Below are 18,782 nucleotides of genomic sequence, written 5' to 3'. Positions count from 1 at the left end.
TCTTCTCCCCTTCTCTTTTTTTCAAGAGCCGCGAGCGGTGCGGGCGCCGCACGTTGGCTGCGGCCCGCTTCCTGCTTTCTAATGTTCCATTGTGAGGAGCTTCCATTGTGACGTCGCGCCCCTTCGGCTGGGCTTTGTCTGTCCATATATGGGCAGCTACGTCACGGAGCTTTCCCGGGGCTCAGATAAATAGGCTGGTGGAGTTCCCTGGCTGGGAGCTTTTGGGCAGCAGTGAGCTTGCTAGGAAGCGGCGGGGCTGGTGGTGGTGGTAGCAGCGGCGGCAGCGGCGGCAGAGGCGGCGGCGGCGGCGGCGGCGGCGGCGGCGGTGGCGGTGGCGGTGGCGGTGGCAGATCGGGGGGCGGGGGGGCGGCGGGCGCGTGTCTGTTTGTGAGATCAATACTGAGGCCGCGTCCGACCCCCTTGAGCCGAGATCCCCCCCCAGCCCAGCCCCCACCCCACCCCCCGCACACGCCCCACCCCCCCCACGACCCAGCCTCATACCGCACCAGCTGAGGCACCCAAGAGGATTACCCCCTGGGGCCCTCTCCCGCCCCCCAAAAAAGAGAAGATCCCCTCTCCTGGCCCATCCCTTCCCTTCTTCCCTCCCCCCTCCCCCCGAACTTTCCCTCTCGCATGCTTTTCCCCTGCACCACGGATCGCCTCTCGGATGCCGCTTGCCTGGAAGCTGCGTTAGGAGCGAGCGGCGGCGGTGGCGGCGGTGGCGGCGGCGGCGGCAGCTCGGGAGTGCTATGACCGGCAAACTCGCCGAGAAGCTGCCGGTGACCATGAGCAGTTTGCTAAACCAACTGCCTGACAATCTGTACCCCGAGGAGATCCCCAGCGCGCTCAACCTCTTCTCCGGCAGCAGCGACTCGGTAGTCCATTACAATCAGATGGCTACAGGTAAGGGCGGCGGGGAGGCGGCGAGGCAGCGAGGAAGGAAGGGGAGAGGAAGAGGAGGAGGGGACGACCTGGTGATGGATGGATGGATGGATGGATGGATGGATGGATGGATGGGTGGATGGGTGGATAGATAAATGGATGGAGAGATGGGGGCGCGCTGGGAATTTTGCGGGGGGCGAGTTGCTTTTCCCACCCACTCCTCCCGCCCTCCTCGATCGAGAAGGCTAGGTTGGCGACGCCACGGTAGAGGCTTCGGTTCTCCCGGGTGGGGGCAGCCGCCGACCGGAGGGAGGTAGGTGCGAGCGGCTCTGGGGTTCTCCCTCACCACGCAGGGGGCCCGATCGCCGGGCTACGCGCAAGGCGTGGTGCTGTCGCCCTCTTCCCGGGAGGAGCCCGGCGTCTTTTTCACCCGCGCTCTCCCCCCTTACTCCCTCAGCCTCCCACCCGGGATGGAGCCATGTGCGGCGTGGAGTCCCCGCGGTGGGAGAGGTACTGCGACGCTGCCTTTCCGGGGCGTTCAGCAAAGCCGTGGGGGTGTGGGGACGGCGGGGAGAAGGAGGGGGTTCACCCGCGGGGCGAGGGCCTGCCACGGGGAACGATCCCGGGGCCGGGGAGCTGGGGAAGGGCGGCCTCTCCCGCCATGGAGACACCGGCCGGTTTTCCGCCGCTCTCCACCCTCCCTAGCTGGGGCTAGGATTTTCCCCTCCAGCAAGAGCCTAAAGCTCCTTCATGCCCGAGGAGGCTGGGGCCGGGGTAGGTGAAGGGAGAGCTCCCTTTGAGGGCGACACCCTTCTACGCTCCGAGGACAAAGCGTCGGAGCGCTCTGGGTCGGCGACCCGGGAGCAGCGCGCGTGGGGGGCATCGCCGGGGAGGGAAAGGCGCGGCGTCCTGGAGCGGACAGGGCCAAGGGAAGAGGCCGAGTTGTGTGCGGTGGAGAGCGAGAGCCCAGCGCGCTCCGGGTCTGAAACTACCTGTAGCTGCAGCTACCTGCCCGCCCCACCTCGGGAAGAACAACAATGCTTCTCGCGCGCGCGCGCGTGTGTGTGTGGTACGTGAGTGTGTGCGCGGCTTGTGCGCTGTGTGTGCAGCAGCCACTCCACACCCCGATCCGTAGTATTTTGCTATATCCAGGTTGCGCCCGGGAGCGCGGCACCGCCCGCTTTGCGCGGGGCTCAGCGTTCCTCTTACCCCATGCGCTACGCACTCCACCCGGCCGCACCCTCCGCACCTGGGCAAGGACCTGGGCGCCGCGGCCCGGAGCCGGATCGGCTTCACTCACCCCTCCCCTCTCTCCCCCGCTCTCCGCAGAGAATGTAATGGACATCGGTCTGACCAACGAGAAGCCCAACCCGGAACTCTCTTACTCCGGCTCCTTCCAGCCAGCCCCCGGCAACAAGACCGTGACCTACTTGGGAAAGTTCGCCTTCGACTCCCCTTCCAACTGGTGCCAGGACAACATCATTAGCCTCATGAGCGCCGGCATCTTGGGGGTGCCCCCGGCTTCAGGGGCGCTCAGCACGCAGACGTCCACGGCCAGCATGGTGCAGCCACCGCAGGGTGACGTGGAGGCCATGTATCCCGCGCTACCCCCCTACTCCAACTGCGGCGACCTCTACTCAGAGCCCGTGTCTTTCCACGACCCCCAGGGCAATCCCGGGCTCGCCTATTCCCCCCAGGATTACCAATCGGCCAAGCCGGCGTTGGACAGCAATCTCTTCCCCATGATTCCTGACTACAACCTCTACCACCACCCCAACGACATGGGCTCCATTCCGGAGCACAAGCCCTTCCAGGGCATGGACCCCATCCGGGTCAACCCGCCCCCTATTACCCCTCTGGAGACCATCAAGGCATTCAAAGACAAGCAGATCCACCCGGGCTTTGGCAGCCTGCCCCAGCCGCCGCTCACCCTCAAGCCCATCCGGCCCCGCAAGTACCCCAACCGGCCTAGCAAGACACCGCTCCACGAACGGCCCCACGCGTGCCCGGCCGAGGGCTGCGACCGCCGTTTCAGCCGTTCGGACGAGCTGACCCGGCACCTGCGCATCCACACGGGCCACAAGCCCTTCCAGTGCCGGATCTGCATGCGGAGCTTCAGCCGCAGCGACCACCTCACCACTCACATCCGCACTCATACGGGCGAGAAGCCCTTTGCCTGCGAGTTCTGCGGGCGCAAGTTTGCGCGCAGCGACGAGCGCAAGCGCCACGCCAAGATCCACCTCAAGCAAAAGGAGAAGAAGGCGGAGAAGGGCGGTGCACCCTCTGCATCCTCGGCGCCCCCCGTGTCGCTGGCCCCCGTGGTCACCACCTGCGCCTGAGGATCGGGCCCCCAGATCCCCACTTTTCCCCTCCAGTGCCTCCCGGCTGCTAGCCTGAAAGCAGCGGGAAAGCCAGCCACGGAGGCGTAGGGGCCGCGCCCTGGCCTCTCCATGGACGTGCGGCCCCTTGCTTCCCCTTCGATGCCCCCGGTTCCCAACCTTTCACGCCGGCCAGCGGTCAGGGGCCAGGGCTGGAGGCGCCTTCCCCTCGCGGTCCCCCACTTAGCCAAGGCGTGGGGGCGGAAAGGTGGCGTCTAGCCCGCTTTGTTCAGTTCGGATCGCCTTGATCCAGGGGCCGCCGGGCCGCGCCAAGGACCTGCAAGGGACTGAAGGCGGAGCCCATCCAACCCTCGCCCGACCCAAACACCTCATTGTTTCCCCCACGTCTCCCTCTATACCCCCTCGAAGACTCGAGAGGGGGAGGGGGTAAGGAGCGCACCAAAGCGCAGAGCTTGCTGCCCGCCGCACGCACGCGCGCCTGCGTGCGGGGATGCGCGCGAGTGTGTGCGTGCTCGCGTGTGTGTGTATGTGTGTGTGTGAGTGTGTGTGTGTGCGCGCGCGCAAGCGTGTGTGTTTAAGACTCTTGAGCTGAACTGGGCTGTGTTTACCCCAAACTCTTCCCCACCTCGGGTCCCCAAGCCGCTGGGAGATGTCCCATGCTGGGGGTCCGCACGTGGCTGGAGGAGGTGGTCTTCCATCCGCTCTGAAATCATGTTTCTTAGAGAAATGCCTCGGATGCCGCCGACGCGGTGCTGCTGCCGCCGCTTCGGGTTTGGCCCCTCAGAACCCCTCCTTTTCTGAGCGCTTCCCTCTTAGGCCTCAGGGCAGTTTGATCTGTGGGGAGAAAGAGCAGCCATCGCTGAGCCTGCCTTTTAAAATATATGTGTATTTCCTTAGCCCCACTCTAAGAAATCTATGTTCCTGAGTTTGCCCCCTGCCCTCCCACTCCTTCCCCTTCTCCCCTCTAAACCTTCTCCCATCTCTTTCAAAATCTTTTCCCAGAAAGGCAGGCTTCAACCAGCCACTCCAGCTTTGTGTCTTCTCTCAATTACATAGCAATTTCTCCTTCCCACCATCATGGGGAAGCTGGCTCTGCTTTTGCCCTTTGTCATCACCAACACAACAGATAGAATTTAAATATAAGTATATGGTGTGCGTGTGTATGTATGTGTATGTATATGCATGCATGTGTATAAAGATGCACATGCGTACATATACATAACATACACACAATATGTATTCCTAGCAAAATAAAATCTCTAAGGTACTTGGTTATCCAGTGCAGTGCACCGGAATAAAGAGAATTTGTAGGCGTATACAGCTTTAAATGATTTATTTTTTATGAAAATGTTAACTGATGAGATTATATCTACATACGTGTGTTATGTGTGTGGATATAGATGCACACATATCTGTACATATACATGTGAGTGTACATATATACACATATACACATCTATGTATGGATATGTGTGTATACACATATACACATCTCTGTCCAAAATTTCCTCAAAGATATGGGGATTTTTTCATGAATCCATGTGGATGAATGAGGTGTCTCCTTTCCATACCCAGTCTCACCTTCTCCCCACCCTACCTCACCTCTTCTCAGGCACCCCTCTTCCCCAGCTGTCCTGCCAGCCCTTCTCGTACAGGGTGGCTCCTTTGAAGTGGAGTAATAGGGAAGGTTGCTCTCTGCCACAGCTTGCAGCATGGTCTTGACTGAATGTACTGTTCCTGTTAGCGTTACTTCTCCTGTGGTCAGTAAGTTGCCCAGAGAGAAGGAACAAAGGTCTGGAGTTTACAGAATGTCTGTTTTTAAAGTCACTTTATGCGTTTTCCACTTTTTTCTTTTTTAAGAAAAAGAAGTACCATTTTTGTTTTGTTTTGTTTTGATTTTTGGTGGTGGATAAATAATACTAAAAGGACTCTAGTGGAAAGGGGGGATATCGAAGAGCAGGGGGTTGTGAATTTCCAGGTACTTGGACTTTTTGTAGAAGGAGAGAGAAGAAGATGAAGTTTGCCAGGAGGGCCCATATTTTTTCAGCTGAAGGGTAAAATCTTTCTTTGCAGAGACAGTATTTTGCTGAATACTTTTTATAATGTGATGATTATTAAAAAAGCAAAAATTTTGGTCACTTCCAAGCTAGAAGGAGGAATCAGATACCCTTTAATATTTTTTCCTCGCTCCTTCTGGTATATGCATGTCACTGCATGATAATTGAGTTTTCCTTTGTTTTAATAAAACTGTTCTCAGACATTAAGCTAAACTAAGAGAAAAATAACTTTGTTGCCAAAAGGTTGTGCTATCCAGATTTTTTATATGTCTGCATGTTTAAAAAAAAAAAGCAACAAAAGAAAATGCACTCTAACTTATGTGAACTGAGAGAAAAAAATCAGGTTTTAAACAGGAAAACCTATGGGGAATGATATTTTTTGAAAGACTTTTGTATAAAGTTGAGTACTTAGAAAAAAGACAAACCAGATGTAATATATTTTGTGGATGTTTTTATTTCTTGGATTTATAGTACCTTATACTAAGGTTAAAAAAATATGCTTGATATTGTGAAAAGGTGAAATTCTTCACCAACATTTCATTTGCTCCTTTGTCATATTGTAATGCCAATATAATATAGTTAATGAAAACAGCATTTTTAAAAACCGAAATATTGAAATGGTGTAATGTTGTACCATTTGCACTGTGAGCAAATGCTAATACAGTAAATATATTGTGTTTGCTGACAATCAGCCGGCCTATAAATCTCCTTATTTTATTTCTTGTTTTTATAGCATAAAGCTTTAGTTTGGCCTGTTTTTTGTCTTGGTTTGTTTTTGGCTGGTGGTTTGTTTGATAGGTTGTTATGCCTAATTTTGCTGTTCTTCCTCTGAAAACTCTCAAAGTGGAAATGTGGAACTTGGTGTTATTCGAAGTAGGTCAGAATTTTGTGCAAGGTTCTGGTGTTTCAAATAGTTTTGAGTGTTTACTGTGGTACCAGGAGAATAGAATTCCCCTCCACCCTTCTGTAAGCCTCACACTGCCAGAGGGATTAGGCGAACAGGTTAGGTAAATTCATGGGAGTCAGGGCTGGTGACTGGGAATCTTCTAGAACCTTCTTTCCAGCTTCCAATGGGTATTTGGGGGTAGAAGGGAGGAGATCTCCCGGTTTATGAACAATTTCTCTAGAGACAGTCTTAGGGAATGCCAGAACAGGACCCTGGAGGGCCTGTCAGCCACACTGAGTAGTTCTCTTGCCAAAGCTTTTGAAGCCTGAAAAACAGGTGGAGACTTGACCGAGGTTCTTCAGGGTTGGCAAGATGACCAGAGAGATTGGCAGCTCTTCTGTGGTCAGATAACTGGAAAAAAATCAGGTTTTAAACTTCTATAATTTTAATCCCGCTTGGATGGGATTCCTCTAGGCCTCACTATTTGGAGCTGCCTGGTAAAGGTGAACCTCGCTGAAAACCAGCTCCTATGAATGACCCAGGGATCCAATGCCTTGAAAGGAAGAAAGGACATTTGGGATTTGGAGAACACACAGGGAATATTTGCATAGCCTCAAACTGCCATACCTTATGATTTCTACCTCCCATAAAAGCAATGCTTCTCCTATCCTCCAAGCTGTCTTCCCTAGAACATTCCTCCTCCTTAACTTAATTTGCCAGCCCTAGAGCTGTCTCCATTTCTCTTGAGGAAAATGTAACCTCCACTTCTTTCCTGTGTCTGCATCTGCATTTTGCACCCCTCACCTTGTTCCCCATAGTCCTTGGAAGGCTTTATCCCTTGAGGCTTGTTGTAGAGCTGTCTTTGCACAAGTCAGTCTTTGCTCTCTCCCCTTCTTCCCGCCTGCCCTCTAAAAAAAACTCACCTGGGTTCCTCTGCAGTGCATTTCACATATGATCTGCTTCACCCAGGTTTAGGGGCTTGGTGTATAATGCTGCGCTATACCCCACCAGATTGTATAAATGGCCCACCAGCTTGTGACTGGAATCTGTATCTCAGACCCTGAGGTGCCGACCAGGTCAGCCACAAAGCAACAGAAATGTCGTGTCCCTGCTCAGAAACTGCTCTTCGGCATCCCCAAGGCAGCCCCATCACAGAGAAAAATATGGGTGGTATTTCTGGTTGGCTATAGTTACCAAGAAGTTGAGGCCAGACCTGGGCGTAGGAGGTAGGCTGTGGCCCTAGAAAAGAATGTTTTTGAAGTGAGAGATGAAGAAGGAGAATGCAGTATGGAATCTTAAATTTTCCCACCCACACAATTTTAGGTCACCGGCTGCCATCTTGAATTCCCTTCTCTTACCTCATGAAACTTCTAAAATTTCAGACTGTGGCTTCAATAGCCTCATAGAAGTGTCCTTCCTTTTTAACAAAGGGAATCCAAGATGGCGGAAAGGTCCTAACATTGAGCATATAATCCATCTCTTTGCTAAACTAGATGTTTCCTTCCAGATTTCTATGTATTTCTCAAGTGAGTAGTATGGGAGGAAGATACTGTCCCTGACTGTCTTCATAGTCAGCATCCAGCCCCACCTGCACCTTCTCCAATCAAACCAGGCCTTCGGTGTTACACTTTCATCAACAGTGTACTATGCTGCATGATTAACAAACTCACTATCCATTGGTGGATATTACTCAACCCAACCTGGTTCAACCACTGGGTTACTTGGCAATATGGCAGTCCGCCAGGCTGGCACCAACCCTGTGTGATGTAATCACTGATTCACACTTTGTAGCTAGATAAGACTGTCCCAGATAGCATCACACCAGCTACCCAACCCACCTGGGTTTTGTAAATATGGGGAGAGGAGACTCAACCCTGAAACTCAGGGATGAAGTAGGGAGAAGGTGGAGGGAAGGCCTAGATGGGGCTATCATGGGAGGGAATCAGTAGAGGCTTTGCAATGAACAGGCCCTGTGCCCTAGGGCAAAATCAGGCATCAAAGTAGGGAAGGGGTAGAGGCATAGCTCCTTCCAAGAACCCCTGGGGTGTTTGGGGATGAATGAAAGGATGCCCCCCTCCCCTCCCCGCGCGCGCGCGCGCGCGCGCACACACACACACACACACACACACCACTTGGGAGTAGTGTACTGAAAGTGATGACTCTTTGCAAAATTGTACTTGGTGAACTGGAGTTGAGTATAAATGAGCTACTTAGAGAGAACATGGGGCAAGGCATGGCATACGTTTTTGTGTGGTGTGTGGTGGAACTGGTAGTGGCGAGTGTGTAAGTGTGTCTTTATTCACAAGCATGTCAAAAAGAATAGCAAGGTGGATTCTGGTGAATGAAGGTAATAGCTCGTGGCCAGTTGTCATTGATCTCCTTTTGCTAATCCATAATTTGCTTGTCATAAATGAGGGGGTTGTGAGCTGCCTTCTCCTGGCCCTGATTGGCTTCCCTGGTGTTCTGGAACAATAAGCCTGGGGAAAGCAGGAGGCCTCTGTGTGTCCCAAGAGCTAGAAATCATACTGGCAAAATCTTAAGGACAAAGGGAAATAACTGACTGTCTAAAAGGTGCCATGGGGTTTTAAAAATAGGTCATAGTCCAAGATCTATCCCAAGGGGTTCTTTTCGGAATAACCATTCTTTGTGAGGAGAAGAGAGGGTTCTCCAGAGGAAGGGGAAGAAGGCCCTTGATCAGAGCAGTCCGTGGGTCAGCCCCATGGACCACACAGTCTTACTCACCAGTCAGACATCCGCAGAGGCCAGGAGAGCCCCTGGCCCTGGAGCCTTCTCCCAGCACGTCAGCTGTTGAGGTGTCACCATTCTTTTGGCTTGAATATTTCCATCAACTCCATCTCTAATATTTTTAAAAATTGGTCATTTTCACAGCCCCATGTGAGAACAGGAGTAGGCCAGGGTGGGAGGTAGTGTCATGAAGCTTTCCCCAATTTACGATAAAGCCTCTGACGTGTCCATGCCCGGGCAGGATAGGACCAGGCCCTGACTGTTCCTGCTCCGGAAGAGTCCCCATCCCCATCACAGCTGGTTCATCTCTAGCCTGGAATTGGGGCAGTTCCTGCCACCACCTCTCCTGGCTACCACCAGCCTCTGACCCCAGGCTGGAAACACTATTTCTTCCCCTCTAGCAAACACACAGATGCCTAGAAGGATGTTTTCTGAGCAATTTTACCAGGGAGCTAATGCAAACAGAACATGGCTACAGAGCTGCAAACAAGAAGAATGTCAACAAAAATGTTCTAACTTCTAGGCTGGGTGGGAGCCAGACTGTGATTCCATACAGCTTCTTTCCTACTGCCTACCCGCTTCCGGGTCTTGCCTCCTCCAGGGAGACCCCCAGTGCATTCTCTCAGGACATGTGTGGCTTCTCTGGTTTACCGAGACCCTGCTCTGCTCCCAGGGTCCCTGGATGACGAAGGTCCTTCCTCTAGGCCTCAGAAATGCCTTCCCGGGCCCCCAGGCACCCCGTGCTGCTCCTATCAACCCTTCCTTCACCCCATTCCTGGGAAACTCTCGGGTTCCACACCCTCCGATCCTATCCTTGCTCCGATGGTGCCCCTGAGCCCTGCTCATGCTGCTTGGAGCACAATGGCTGTCCTTTGGGTCAGCCCTTCTCACCAGGCCTGCCCAGGGCCTGCAGCCTTCTCTACTTGGGCCGTTTGTTGTGGCATCATGACCCAACCAGAAACAGACTGCTCAATCATAGACTTGTTGTTTGGGATTCCCTTTTGGGTCACGCACTGAGTTCCTAGCTAGAGTTTCAGGAATGCCTCCAGCTGTCAGCTCCCTAGAGGAATAGAGATGTCTGTCACCCTTGAGTCCGGGCACACCCCAAGCCCTCTTCAGGGGTACCTATCCTTGTCTATGGGCCTGTATTCTCTGAAATGGCTCACCCCAGAGGTGACCATTCACTCACCTAGAATCCATCAGTACCCTGTTCTCACCAAAGACAGAGAGGTTAGTGGCCAGAACAGAACTGAGCCTTTGAGCCCTTTGGTATCTTTTCCACAACAGGCTGCAAGAGCTCTCACACTTTTTTTTCCTTGGCGTCACCCCTCCACATTGTCCAGATGCCTGACAGTCTTCCATTCCTCCCCGTTCCTTTCTCTGCACTGCTTAGGAAGGTCAGGTTGGTCCCAGCAGGAGGGAGAGAAGAAAACTTCCAGTACCCGTGGAACCCCAGGGTGCTAATGAAAGTCTTCTTTTGGGTACTTGTTACTTACTTAGGTTTCAGTCCTAAAAATGAAGAGGCAGTTTGATAACCTGGCAGCTACTCTGGTTTTTCTCCTGGGGCCCTTAACCCACTTTGGGACCATCGCCTCCCTCCTACATCTGAATCTCAACTCTGCCACTTTCTGGCAGTGTGACTCTCAGAAACTTCTTAGTCTATGTGACCCATTATTTCCTCTTGTCTTATCATTGCTGTTGCGGAGTTTAAATGAGATACTGTGTATGGTGCCTGGTTCATGGTGGGTGCTCCATCAATGTCATTTATCTTCCCTGTCCCTTACCCCGTCCCCTTCCTCCAAACACAGTGGCAAGAAAACAGGCTCTGTCTCCACTGGGGATCAGTACATCAATTCAAACAACCAGGGGACCTCGCGGTCCCTGCCACCACTCCCAGCCCCTACCATCCACTGCTTATCTGTGTTCTGAAAATAGATCCTCTCCACCCTACCCCCAATCCACTCGAGAGAACATGAGTCCTTTCCCCTCTTGGCCACAGCCAAAGTTCATTGTTGTAATTTCCTGGCCTAATTCCTGACCCCTCCTCAGGTCCTTTTGTCCCATCTCTCTCGCTGAGATGGGTGGATGGGACACCTTCCTGATCCAGTATCATCTGCAAAGTTAATTAATGTGTCATCGGGCTGTTGCCTGCTTCCTGATCCTTATCATGGATTTAAATAAAACGCAGCAGCCCCAGTTCTGCCCCGTCCATCTCTTTCCCTTCATCTTAGTCATCAGTCCTTGACCTCAGCCTTCTGGCTAGCTCTTAGCTTCCAGCTGCAGGGCTGGTGGCCCTGCTTCTGCCCAGGCCTGGTCTGGGGGCAGAGGTGGCATGCAGGGCTTTAATGGAATGCAGGGCTTTAATTCTGCGAGAGAATCATGGACATCAGGCCCTTACCTCAAGGTCCCACTTCCTTCAGGGATTCTCCCTAAATTTTAGCCATAAGGGACTTTAAGATGCCATTTAGTCCAACATGCTCTTTTTCAGATAAGGAAACAGAGGCCTAAAGGGGTTCGTGACTTGTCCAAACTCACACATCTAGGAAGGGCAGAGGTGAGAATTCAGATCCTGACAATCAGTGGAAGGTCCCACAGAAAGGTTAATTGCTTTGTTTATTTATTTAAATGTGTGTCAAGGGCCTGCCATGTGCAACACATTCTTCTAGGCACCGGGGTTATAGCAGTGAACAAAAAGGCCTGCATTGTCACAGCTTACCTTCTCCAGGGCAGAAACAGGTAAAAAACAAACAAGCAAATATGTGTTGTGTCCGATTGTGATGTGTGTTATGGAGAAAAATACAGCAGAGGAAGGAGAACGGCTAGCACTGGGAGAAGGGGATTACAATCACATACGAGTGATCTGGGACGGCTTCACAGGGAGGCGTCTTTCAGCACAGGCCCAGGAAGTGACAGGATGGACCACGTGGCCATCTGAGGAAGAACTGTCTGGGTGCAAAAGTCCTCAGGAGAGCATGGTATTCTTGGAAGTTCGAAGAGTAACATGGAGGCAGAGTGGCTGGAAAGGAAGGGAGGTGACAATAGGAGATGAAGTCGGAGAGATAGTATGGGACCAGGTCACGGGAGCGCTTTAAAGGAAATGAATGTGTCCAAAAGAAGCAAAAAATGCTGAAGGCTAATAGTGAGGGAAAGGCCCCACGACCCCTGAGCAGAGCCCCGACCTGTACTAACTGGACTGCCAGGCCAGCCCTGGGCTGCAGGTACCATGTCCTTTCAGCCCTCAACGCCCCCATTCCTCTGCTCGGCTCTGTCATCCCCTGACTGCAGTCTCCTTAGTCTTTCTTTCACATCTGAGATGTCAAAGACCACCAATGATTCCTAAACTCCAGCCTGGCCAAGGAGAGACAGAAGTGCCTCCTTCAAGAACCATAACCAAGAGCCTTCTCTCTTCCTGTTGACACTTGCCTTCGTGCCAAGTTCCTAATGAGATGAATGACTCTTCCTGCTGGCCAGCCTAGGAGTGGGAATCTCCCTTGGCCTCATCTCTCAGAAATCGCTCCAGCAAAGCCAGCTCCCTCTTTTGTCTGTGGCTAGATTGACCATGTTCTCTCCCTTGGCAAAAAGCTGGTGGATGGTCAGGTTCTTCCAATATGGTCACATTCTCACCCATATCCCGGGCCCTGAGCCCAAAAATCACTTGATCCGCAATACCGCTTGCCACATCCTCTCTATTTCCCTGGATTCTGGCAAATCTCCGTCTAGTAACATCATTTCTATGGCCTAGCCTAGGCAGTTTCATGCCTGAGAAAAAAACATTTCTTCCTCCCTCTCCCCACCTTTTTTGGTCTTCCATTTCATGCCTCCCAAAAGTTCCCCTCAGTTCTTGGCTTTCCCTTGCAACTTGGCATCATCCGGAGCTTCTTCACATTTCATTCATTCATCCATGAATTTAGCAAAACTACTAAGCCAGGTACAGTGTTCAGCATGGGGGTGGGGTGGTCACACAGTCCAAAGATGAACAACACACAGTCCTTGAAGATCTTACGCTCTGTCGGGGAAGCAGACACATAAACAGATGATTTCAATACACTGGGACTGGTGTCATGATAATGGTTCACTCTGATAGGAAGGCACCTAAATCAGAGTTTGGGGGTAAGTGGGAAGGATGGGGTGGTGTAGGGAAGCTTCCCGGAGGATCTCAGTCTTCTTTCAGGTCCCACATCAATAACAAAACCACTAAGCTGCTGAGGACTTTCTATGCGCCAAGTGCTGTGCTAAAGGCTGGACATGTATTATCCCGTTGGACTCTAGGTAGAGTAGAACTAACCCAGGGTGCTCACCAGTTAGCCTGTGGGGCTGTTCACTCTTTGTCCTTTTCCTGGAGGAGAAAGAGAAAATCCCAGTGGCCCACAGGCCCCAGGAAACAACAGAGCAGCTTGGCATCTCTGGAGTATGCCCAGCTGGCTTAGTGGAAGTTGTCCAACCCAGATGACATGTCCCTGTGTTACATTCTGGTTGCTTCTCCTTGCTACAGAGCAGAGTTTTCTGGGGTTTGGGGAGGGATACGGGGAGCCTCCATCTTTGGATTCTTTTGGTACAGGAACAACATCCCTCCAGGTGACCTCCACCTACCATGGCTCTGTAGACGCCAGCTCCTCAGCACAGGACCTGAGGTGGTGAGCTGGGAGGAAACCCACCAGACGTGCTCTTCTTCCTGAGGTGCTTAGAGTCAGGTTCCACAGTTTCAAGCATGGCCAACCTCCACCTTCCCCTCTCTCAGCCCATCCACCTGATTCTCCTTTGCTGTTGGTTGAAGAGCTCAGACAAAAGACCAAGGCTGTGGCTCCAGTTCCAGCACTGCCTCTCCCTGTGCATTAGACCCTAAGTGAATTTCTTAACTTGGCTGAGCCTCTATTTTCCCATCTGTACAGTGGGGATAATACCCTTCTCCACAGAGTTGTTGAGAGGATCCACTCGAATGTAAATTATGAAAAAGAGCTGTCCTTTCCAAAAAGCCAAAAGAAGACTGTTGGAGGAGGAGGTGGGCGATACTCTTCTCCTTCGACAGGTGAATATATTATGGGGAGACGTTTCTAGGTGGAGCTGGAAGCCCGGTCTGAACTCAGTCACTATTCTTATTAGATCAGGTGAGAAGATCACACAGGATTCAGATGGCTCCGAGGTGACAAGCTCAGGAATAATCCCAGCTTCACTGTTAGAAACTGCATTTTCTGGGTCTTAAGACATGGAAATCTCCATCCAATGAGGATGTAGATCATTGAACAGATGTACACCCTCTGTACTGCACTGCATCAGGAGTCAGGAGACCTGGCTTCTAGTCCTGGCTTTAACATGAGGACAAAGCTCTATAACATCTGCAAAGTCACAGCCCTTCTCTGGGTCTTGAAGTCCCTGTTAGAAAATCAAGTGGTCCCACTAGAGAATCCATACGATATCTTCAGCCCTAAAGTGCAGAAGTCCCAAGACTGTCACTCTGTGCAAGACCCACCCCCATCTCACAGCTGGGGACTGAGCCAGGGCTCAGCAATGCTGGCATGAGACTCAAATGCAAAGATCCTGCTTCCCGTTGCCTCAAAGCACCAGCTCTCTCGCTCCATCCTCCCAAGAGCCTCCAAGGCGCCATTGGCTTCCTGGGACTCTGAGTCTGCCGGCCTCTTTTCCTGACTCCAGTTTCTTCTGGCCTGAGCCAATGGGGCATGTTCTGTGACTGCATTTGCATCTCGGATTGTGTTTTTAAACCCATTTTCTCCCATATTTGCCTGAAAAATATATAGAAACTGATATACAATCCAATCCTCTGGTTTGGGGTCCCATTCAACCCAATGCCAGAAATGCTTCGCAGTGGTTTGCGGTACTCGGATCACTTCTTCTCCATGGACTGGAAAGCCCTGGGGGGTGGCAGGCTCCTGAATGTAGCTCCTGCCCTAGTGAGGGAGCAGCAGGGGCCCCAGAAGGCTCAGAATCTCTGTCTTTGGGGCCCTCCTGAGAATTCCTACTGCTGGGAGTCCCCCGTTTTGGGATTTCAGCCTTAAATCTACCATCTGAACCACTGCCCTACCTGCTGGGTTTTCCTCCCAGATCACCACCACAGGTCCCTCCATCATCTCAGGAAAGGACCCAGTGCTCCTAGAAGCTCATCCCTCTTTTCATCCACAAAGCCCAAGTGTGCCCCACCCCATCCTCCTCCCAAACTCTGCCCGGAACCAGCAGCCCCTCCCTTCCAGCACACCCTTTCGCCCTTATCTCCAGCATCACCCATTTATTCCAATCCTCACCCCACTGGAGCGTCTGCTGGGTTACCCAACCTCCCCTAGGTCAAGCCTGTGTTGGATGAGTTGAGTCATTACCTCCATCTCCTCCCAACCCTCCCAGGTCTCAGGAATTGGGCTGGTTTGGCAGGCTGGGAGGGAAGCCTCCAACCCTTCCATGGAGGCAGCCTCCTGGGACCAGGATTTTCCTGGTATTGAGCCTAACTTTGTCTTTCCCGGAACACCCTTGTCACCAACTAGACCACCCAATCACCCACCTGAGTTTGCTCACTGTCCATCTCCCCACACCAGCTCCTTCTGTGACCAGTCATGGAAACTTGGACACAGCAATGAAGCTCTCTGGCCCTCAGATGACACATCTGCGAAATGGGGGATAATGATACCTCTCCCGCCCTAGGGGAGGACATGGAGCTGCTACTATCCCATGGTCCTCCTCCAGCTCCCCTAGGTTGTTCATGTCAGCTCCCTCTCTCTCCCTTACTCTTAGAACACCTCATCTGCAGGCACTTAAGATTTCTAGTCTCTGTGCCACCGGCTCTGTCCTTGGCTCCTACCTCTCTCCCATCCACATCCTCCCACCCTTGGGGTCTTGGCAACTGTGACAGCCACCAAACAGGAACTGCAGACAAAGCCCCCAGAAGTTCAGGCCACCGCTTCCTTCCCTGCTGCACCCCACACTGTCCAGGGAAACCCAGAGGTTAGACAGCAAGGTCCAGATTCCCTCTGGGGACAAGAAGCCAGGCTCTGTCCTTGGTTCGCACAACATTCTGGAGCTGGCAGGGCCCTGGACGATCCTTTGTGTACAGCCCGGGCTCTGCGGCTCCCATCTTTGTGCACGCCCTGCACACACATGCAGGCAGCAGCCCTACTCAATTCTCCCACGAGCACACGCTCTCTTGCTCTCCCTCCCCCTTCTCTATTTCTCTCTCTGAGCTGTGCTCCCAGAACACACCCTCCCAGCCCACCAATCCTACACATGCCACTGCGCTTTACAAGCATCAGCTCAAGAATCTCCCAGTTCCCCACTTGCTCCCTCCACTCCATCTCTCCAACTCCTCCACCCGCAAAGGGTGGGCCCTGTCTGCCCACAAGACTAAGATGTCTCAGCTTCTCCAGGCCTGCCTTTGCAGGAAGAGTCTTTGCTGGCTTCCTGCAGCCCCTCATCTCCCTTTCCCTACAGGCAAAAGCAGCCCAAGGCCCCCACAGCCCGGGCAGCCCCTCCCCAGCATCTGGTGAGAGGACAAGAAGAAGGAAGAACTGTGGGTTCTTTTCCTTGAGACTCCTAGATTTTGTACCAAAATGCAGGGTGTGCTCCTGTTTGCATTTTTTTTTTTGTTTCCTTTCTGAAAATAACCATGAAACTATCATTTCCTCCCACTGCCTTTTCCCTATCTTATTTGGATTAGCAGAGTTGCTGCAAGAGGTGGTTTGGAGCCACTGACAGCCTCCTTTCCTGACCTGGGTCCAGGGAACTCATAGGTGGCTTTGGAGCGGGCGCTGCCAGATGGGCGCTGGGTCCTCTGGGATGGCAAGAAGGAGTGCAGGCACTGGGCACCATGGGGTCACCATGACCTCTTCAATTAGAGACCCCTGGGAAACCAGGTTTGAGCCTGCCTTGTGCCCACATTGGTAAATATCGGGAACAACCTCAGGCCTGGCTTTCTTTCTGTAGCTTTTCTGGAATGGGGGGGCAGCAGCTCAGCCCCCTCCCTTGGCTGACAGGTGGGGAAGATGCAATAGATATAGGCTCTCCACGTGGGAAGGGGGCCAATACAGAAGAACTGGTGCTTATACAAGAAGAAAAATGGGGTGCATGGTGAGAGGGGGTGCCTCTCTTCTCCCTTGTTTGTATCCAATGCCTCCTCCCACGCGGCTGTTCCGGGCCTTCATGCTGCTCGCTGAGAAGCAACCTCAAAAGGATCCAGCTTCAGGGTTGGGGGCAGTCAGAGAGACTCCCAAAGAAGCCTGCCTCTTATGCCACCCAAGGGCCTACAGGGCACAGCTTGCTTGAGAAACTGAGCTTCCCTGTAATCCCAGCACTTGCTTGAGAAACTGAGCTTCCCTGTAATCCCAGCACTTTGGGAGTCCGAGCGGGGAGGATCGCTTGAGGCCAGGAGGTCGAAGCTGCAGTAAGCTACGATCACGCCACTGCACTCTAGCCTGGGCAAAGAGCAAGACTCTGTCTCAAAAGGATAAAAAGAAAAACAAAAGAAAGAAAGAAAGAAATGAAGGGGGCAGCAACCCAGGCCTCCCTGCCCTGAGGATAGTTCTTTCATGAGGCCCCCCGCCACAGGCCTTCAACCTCTGAAGCCCACCGCTGCCTGACTTGTTTCTGGTTGAAGAAGACCCCAGGGGAGGGCCCCTCTGCTGGTGCTGCCATCCCTGGGGCCTGGCCAGTTGCAGTTCCATGAAAAGCAAAGGATGGCTGAGGCTGGAAAAGGGGACCACGGACCAAAGTTGCTTGGTCTGACCTTCCTGGCAGAGGGAATTGGTGCCCCCGGGAGCCTTCCTGCCCTTGTTTGGCCTCTCTTCCGTCCTGCTGTGTGCCTTCTTTGGGGATTCCTTCCTGATCAGTCCAGAGGTACAGCAGGCCAGGGCTGGAGGGTTGCAGCCGGCCTGGCCTCAGTGGCACCACTGTCTCCTCCTATCCATCAGTGAGGCCTTCTCCACATGCCCCTCATGCTGGTTACCACCTTTTCACTGTGACCAGATTTGGCATGTGCCCCATCTAATTTCTCTAGGCCAGCCTGCTGCAGCGGAACCTCATCCCTTTCTTTGAGGGTCCTGGCTTGCCCCAAAGGTGCTGGCCTTGGCATGAAATCCTCCCCCAGCCCCCCGTTGTCCTTCCTGACACATCCACACTATGCATCCCTTGGTTCTGCCTCTTCCTTCCCAGCGGGACCCTTCTCCTCCCCCAGGCTGAGCTCCTGGGCTATTTAGGGCACTGCCGGCCTTGTGGTGTAATCAGTGCCCGGGGATAATTGCCACCTGCCCTGCCGGTGTCTGGGGGCTGTCTCCACCACAGCAGCAGGGGGTGGACGCTGGGCAGCCAGGCCTGCAGCAAGGTCAGGCTGGGGCAGTCCTGCCCTCTCCCCAGGCCTGCTGCTCACGCGTGGGACTTGCAAGGATTCCCTAGGAAAGCCATGCGTTCCTAGAAGCTATGCTCACCTGGGACACTCTGTGGCTTCAGATGGGGGTGGATGGCTATCCCAGCCAGGGGACAAAAGTCCTGAGGCTATTCTATGCACCCACACACAGCCCAAACCCTGTTCTTCCATACTACCTTCCGAGGTCAGGGGATACCCCCTGGCTGCTGACCTCTGGACAGAGCAACAACCAAATCAAGAGGGACTTGGATTTGACCTTCAGTCCACCAGGCCTCATCCTCCTCCTTCAAGGAGGCAGCAAGGGCTAATGACTGTGAAAGTGAGTCTACTATAAACGCTAGCTTCCTCCCTTTTTGCTACATTATTTTCTGCTCCAAGGCAGCCTGGGTTTAGACAGCCTGGGTTTAAATGCCTGTCCTTCTCACTTAGCCAATTCTGTGAACTTGGGCAATTAGTTCAGCCTCGGTTTCCTCATCTGTAAAAAGGAGATGATCAGAGGAGCTGCCTCACCAAGTTAC

At 52.9% G+C, this 18,782-nt stretch overlaps 1 protein-coding gene and 1 long non-coding RNA gene across 6 annotated transcripts, besides 6 other annotated features; one reads left to right on the top strand and one right to left on the bottom strand.

Annotated features, from left to right (window-relative positions):
• Positions 25-188: a silencer, noted in NCBI's record as "fragment chr8:22551019-22551182 (GRCh37/hg19 assembly coordinates)". NCBI's record gives its function as "represses an EF-1alpha promoter that drives an FKBP-Casp9 reporter gene in an ReSE screen in HepG2 liver carcinoma cells {active_cell/tissue: HepG2}" and the evidence as "EXISTENCE:reporter gene assay evidence [ECO:0000049][PMID:32094911]".
• Positions 25-252: a biological region, named in NCBI's record as "ReSE screen-validated silencer GRCh37_chr8:22551019-22551182".
• Positions 133-252: a silencer, noted in NCBI's record as "silent region_19007". NCBI's record gives its function as "represses an Ori minimal core promoter by ATAC-STARR-seq in GM12878 lymphoblastoid cells {active_cell/tissue: GM12878}" and the evidence as "EXISTENCE:reporter gene assay evidence [ECO:0000049][PMID:35858748]".
• EGR3 (early growth response 3) lies at positions 214-6,035 on the top strand. Of its 5 annotated transcripts, XM_011544429.3 has the most exons (3): positions 1,117-1,195; positions 1,340-1,392; positions 2,212-6,035. In XM_011544429.3, the coding sequence occupies exons 2-3, from the start codon at positions 1,353-1,355 to the stop codon at positions 3,219-3,221; spliced, it is 1,050 nt and encodes a 349-aa protein (XP_011542731.2). In that variant the 5' UTR covers positions 1,117-1,195; positions 1,340-1,352; the 3' UTR covers positions 3,222-6,035. The 5 variants fall into 5 exon arrangements, with proteins under 5 accessions (NP_004421.2, XP_011542731.2, NP_001186810.1 ...); NM_004430.3 differs by lacking the exons at positions 1,117-1,195; positions 1,340-1,392 and adding an exon at positions 214-903; NM_001199881.2 differs by lacking the exon at positions 1,340-1,392.
• Positions 1,115-1,184: a silencer, noted in NCBI's record as "silent region_19006". NCBI's record gives its function as "represses an Ori minimal core promoter by ATAC-STARR-seq in GM12878 lymphoblastoid cells {active_cell/tissue: GM12878}" and the evidence as "EXISTENCE:reporter gene assay evidence [ECO:0000049][PMID:35858748]".
• Positions 1,595-1,790: a silencer, noted in NCBI's record as "fragment chr8:22549417-22549612 (GRCh37/hg19 assembly coordinates)". NCBI's record gives its function as "represses an EF-1alpha promoter that drives an FKBP-Casp9 reporter gene in an ReSE screen in phorbol 12-myristate 13-acetate-treated (for megakaryocytic differentiation) K562 erythroleukemia cells {active_cell/tissue: K562(+PMA)}" and the evidence as "EXISTENCE:reporter gene assay evidence [ECO:0000049][PMID:32094911]".
• Positions 2,511-3,416: an enhancer, noted in NCBI's record as "H3K27ac-H3K4me1 hESC enhancer chr8:22547791-22548696 (GRCh37/hg19 assembly coordinates)". NCBI's record gives its function as "activates a minimal SCP1, AML or CMV promoter by ChIP-STARR-seq in naive H9 embryonic stem cells {active_cell/tissue: H9 hESC(naive)}" and the evidence as "EXISTENCE:reporter gene assay evidence [ECO:0000049][PMID:30033119]".
• Positions 5,991-18,303, bottom strand: LOC107986924 (uncharacterized). The gene is made up of 2 exons (XR_001745827.2): positions 8,907-18,303; positions 5,991-7,403 (listed from the first exon to the last, which is right to left on the bottom strand). It is a non-coding gene; the product is annotated as an uncharacterized LOC107986924 (long non-coding RNA).
• Positions 18,304-18,782: the final 479 nt, after the last annotated feature.

Source organism: Homo sapiens, chromosome 8, assembly GCF_000001405.40.
Source record: "Homo sapiens chromosome 8, GRCh38.p14 Primary Assembly".
Classification (NCBI taxonomy): Eukaryota; Metazoa; Chordata; class Mammalia; order Primates; family Hominidae; genus Homo; species Homo sapiens.
Note: the sequence above shows the minus strand (reverse complement) of the source record. Positions and strands in the feature narration are given on the sequence as shown.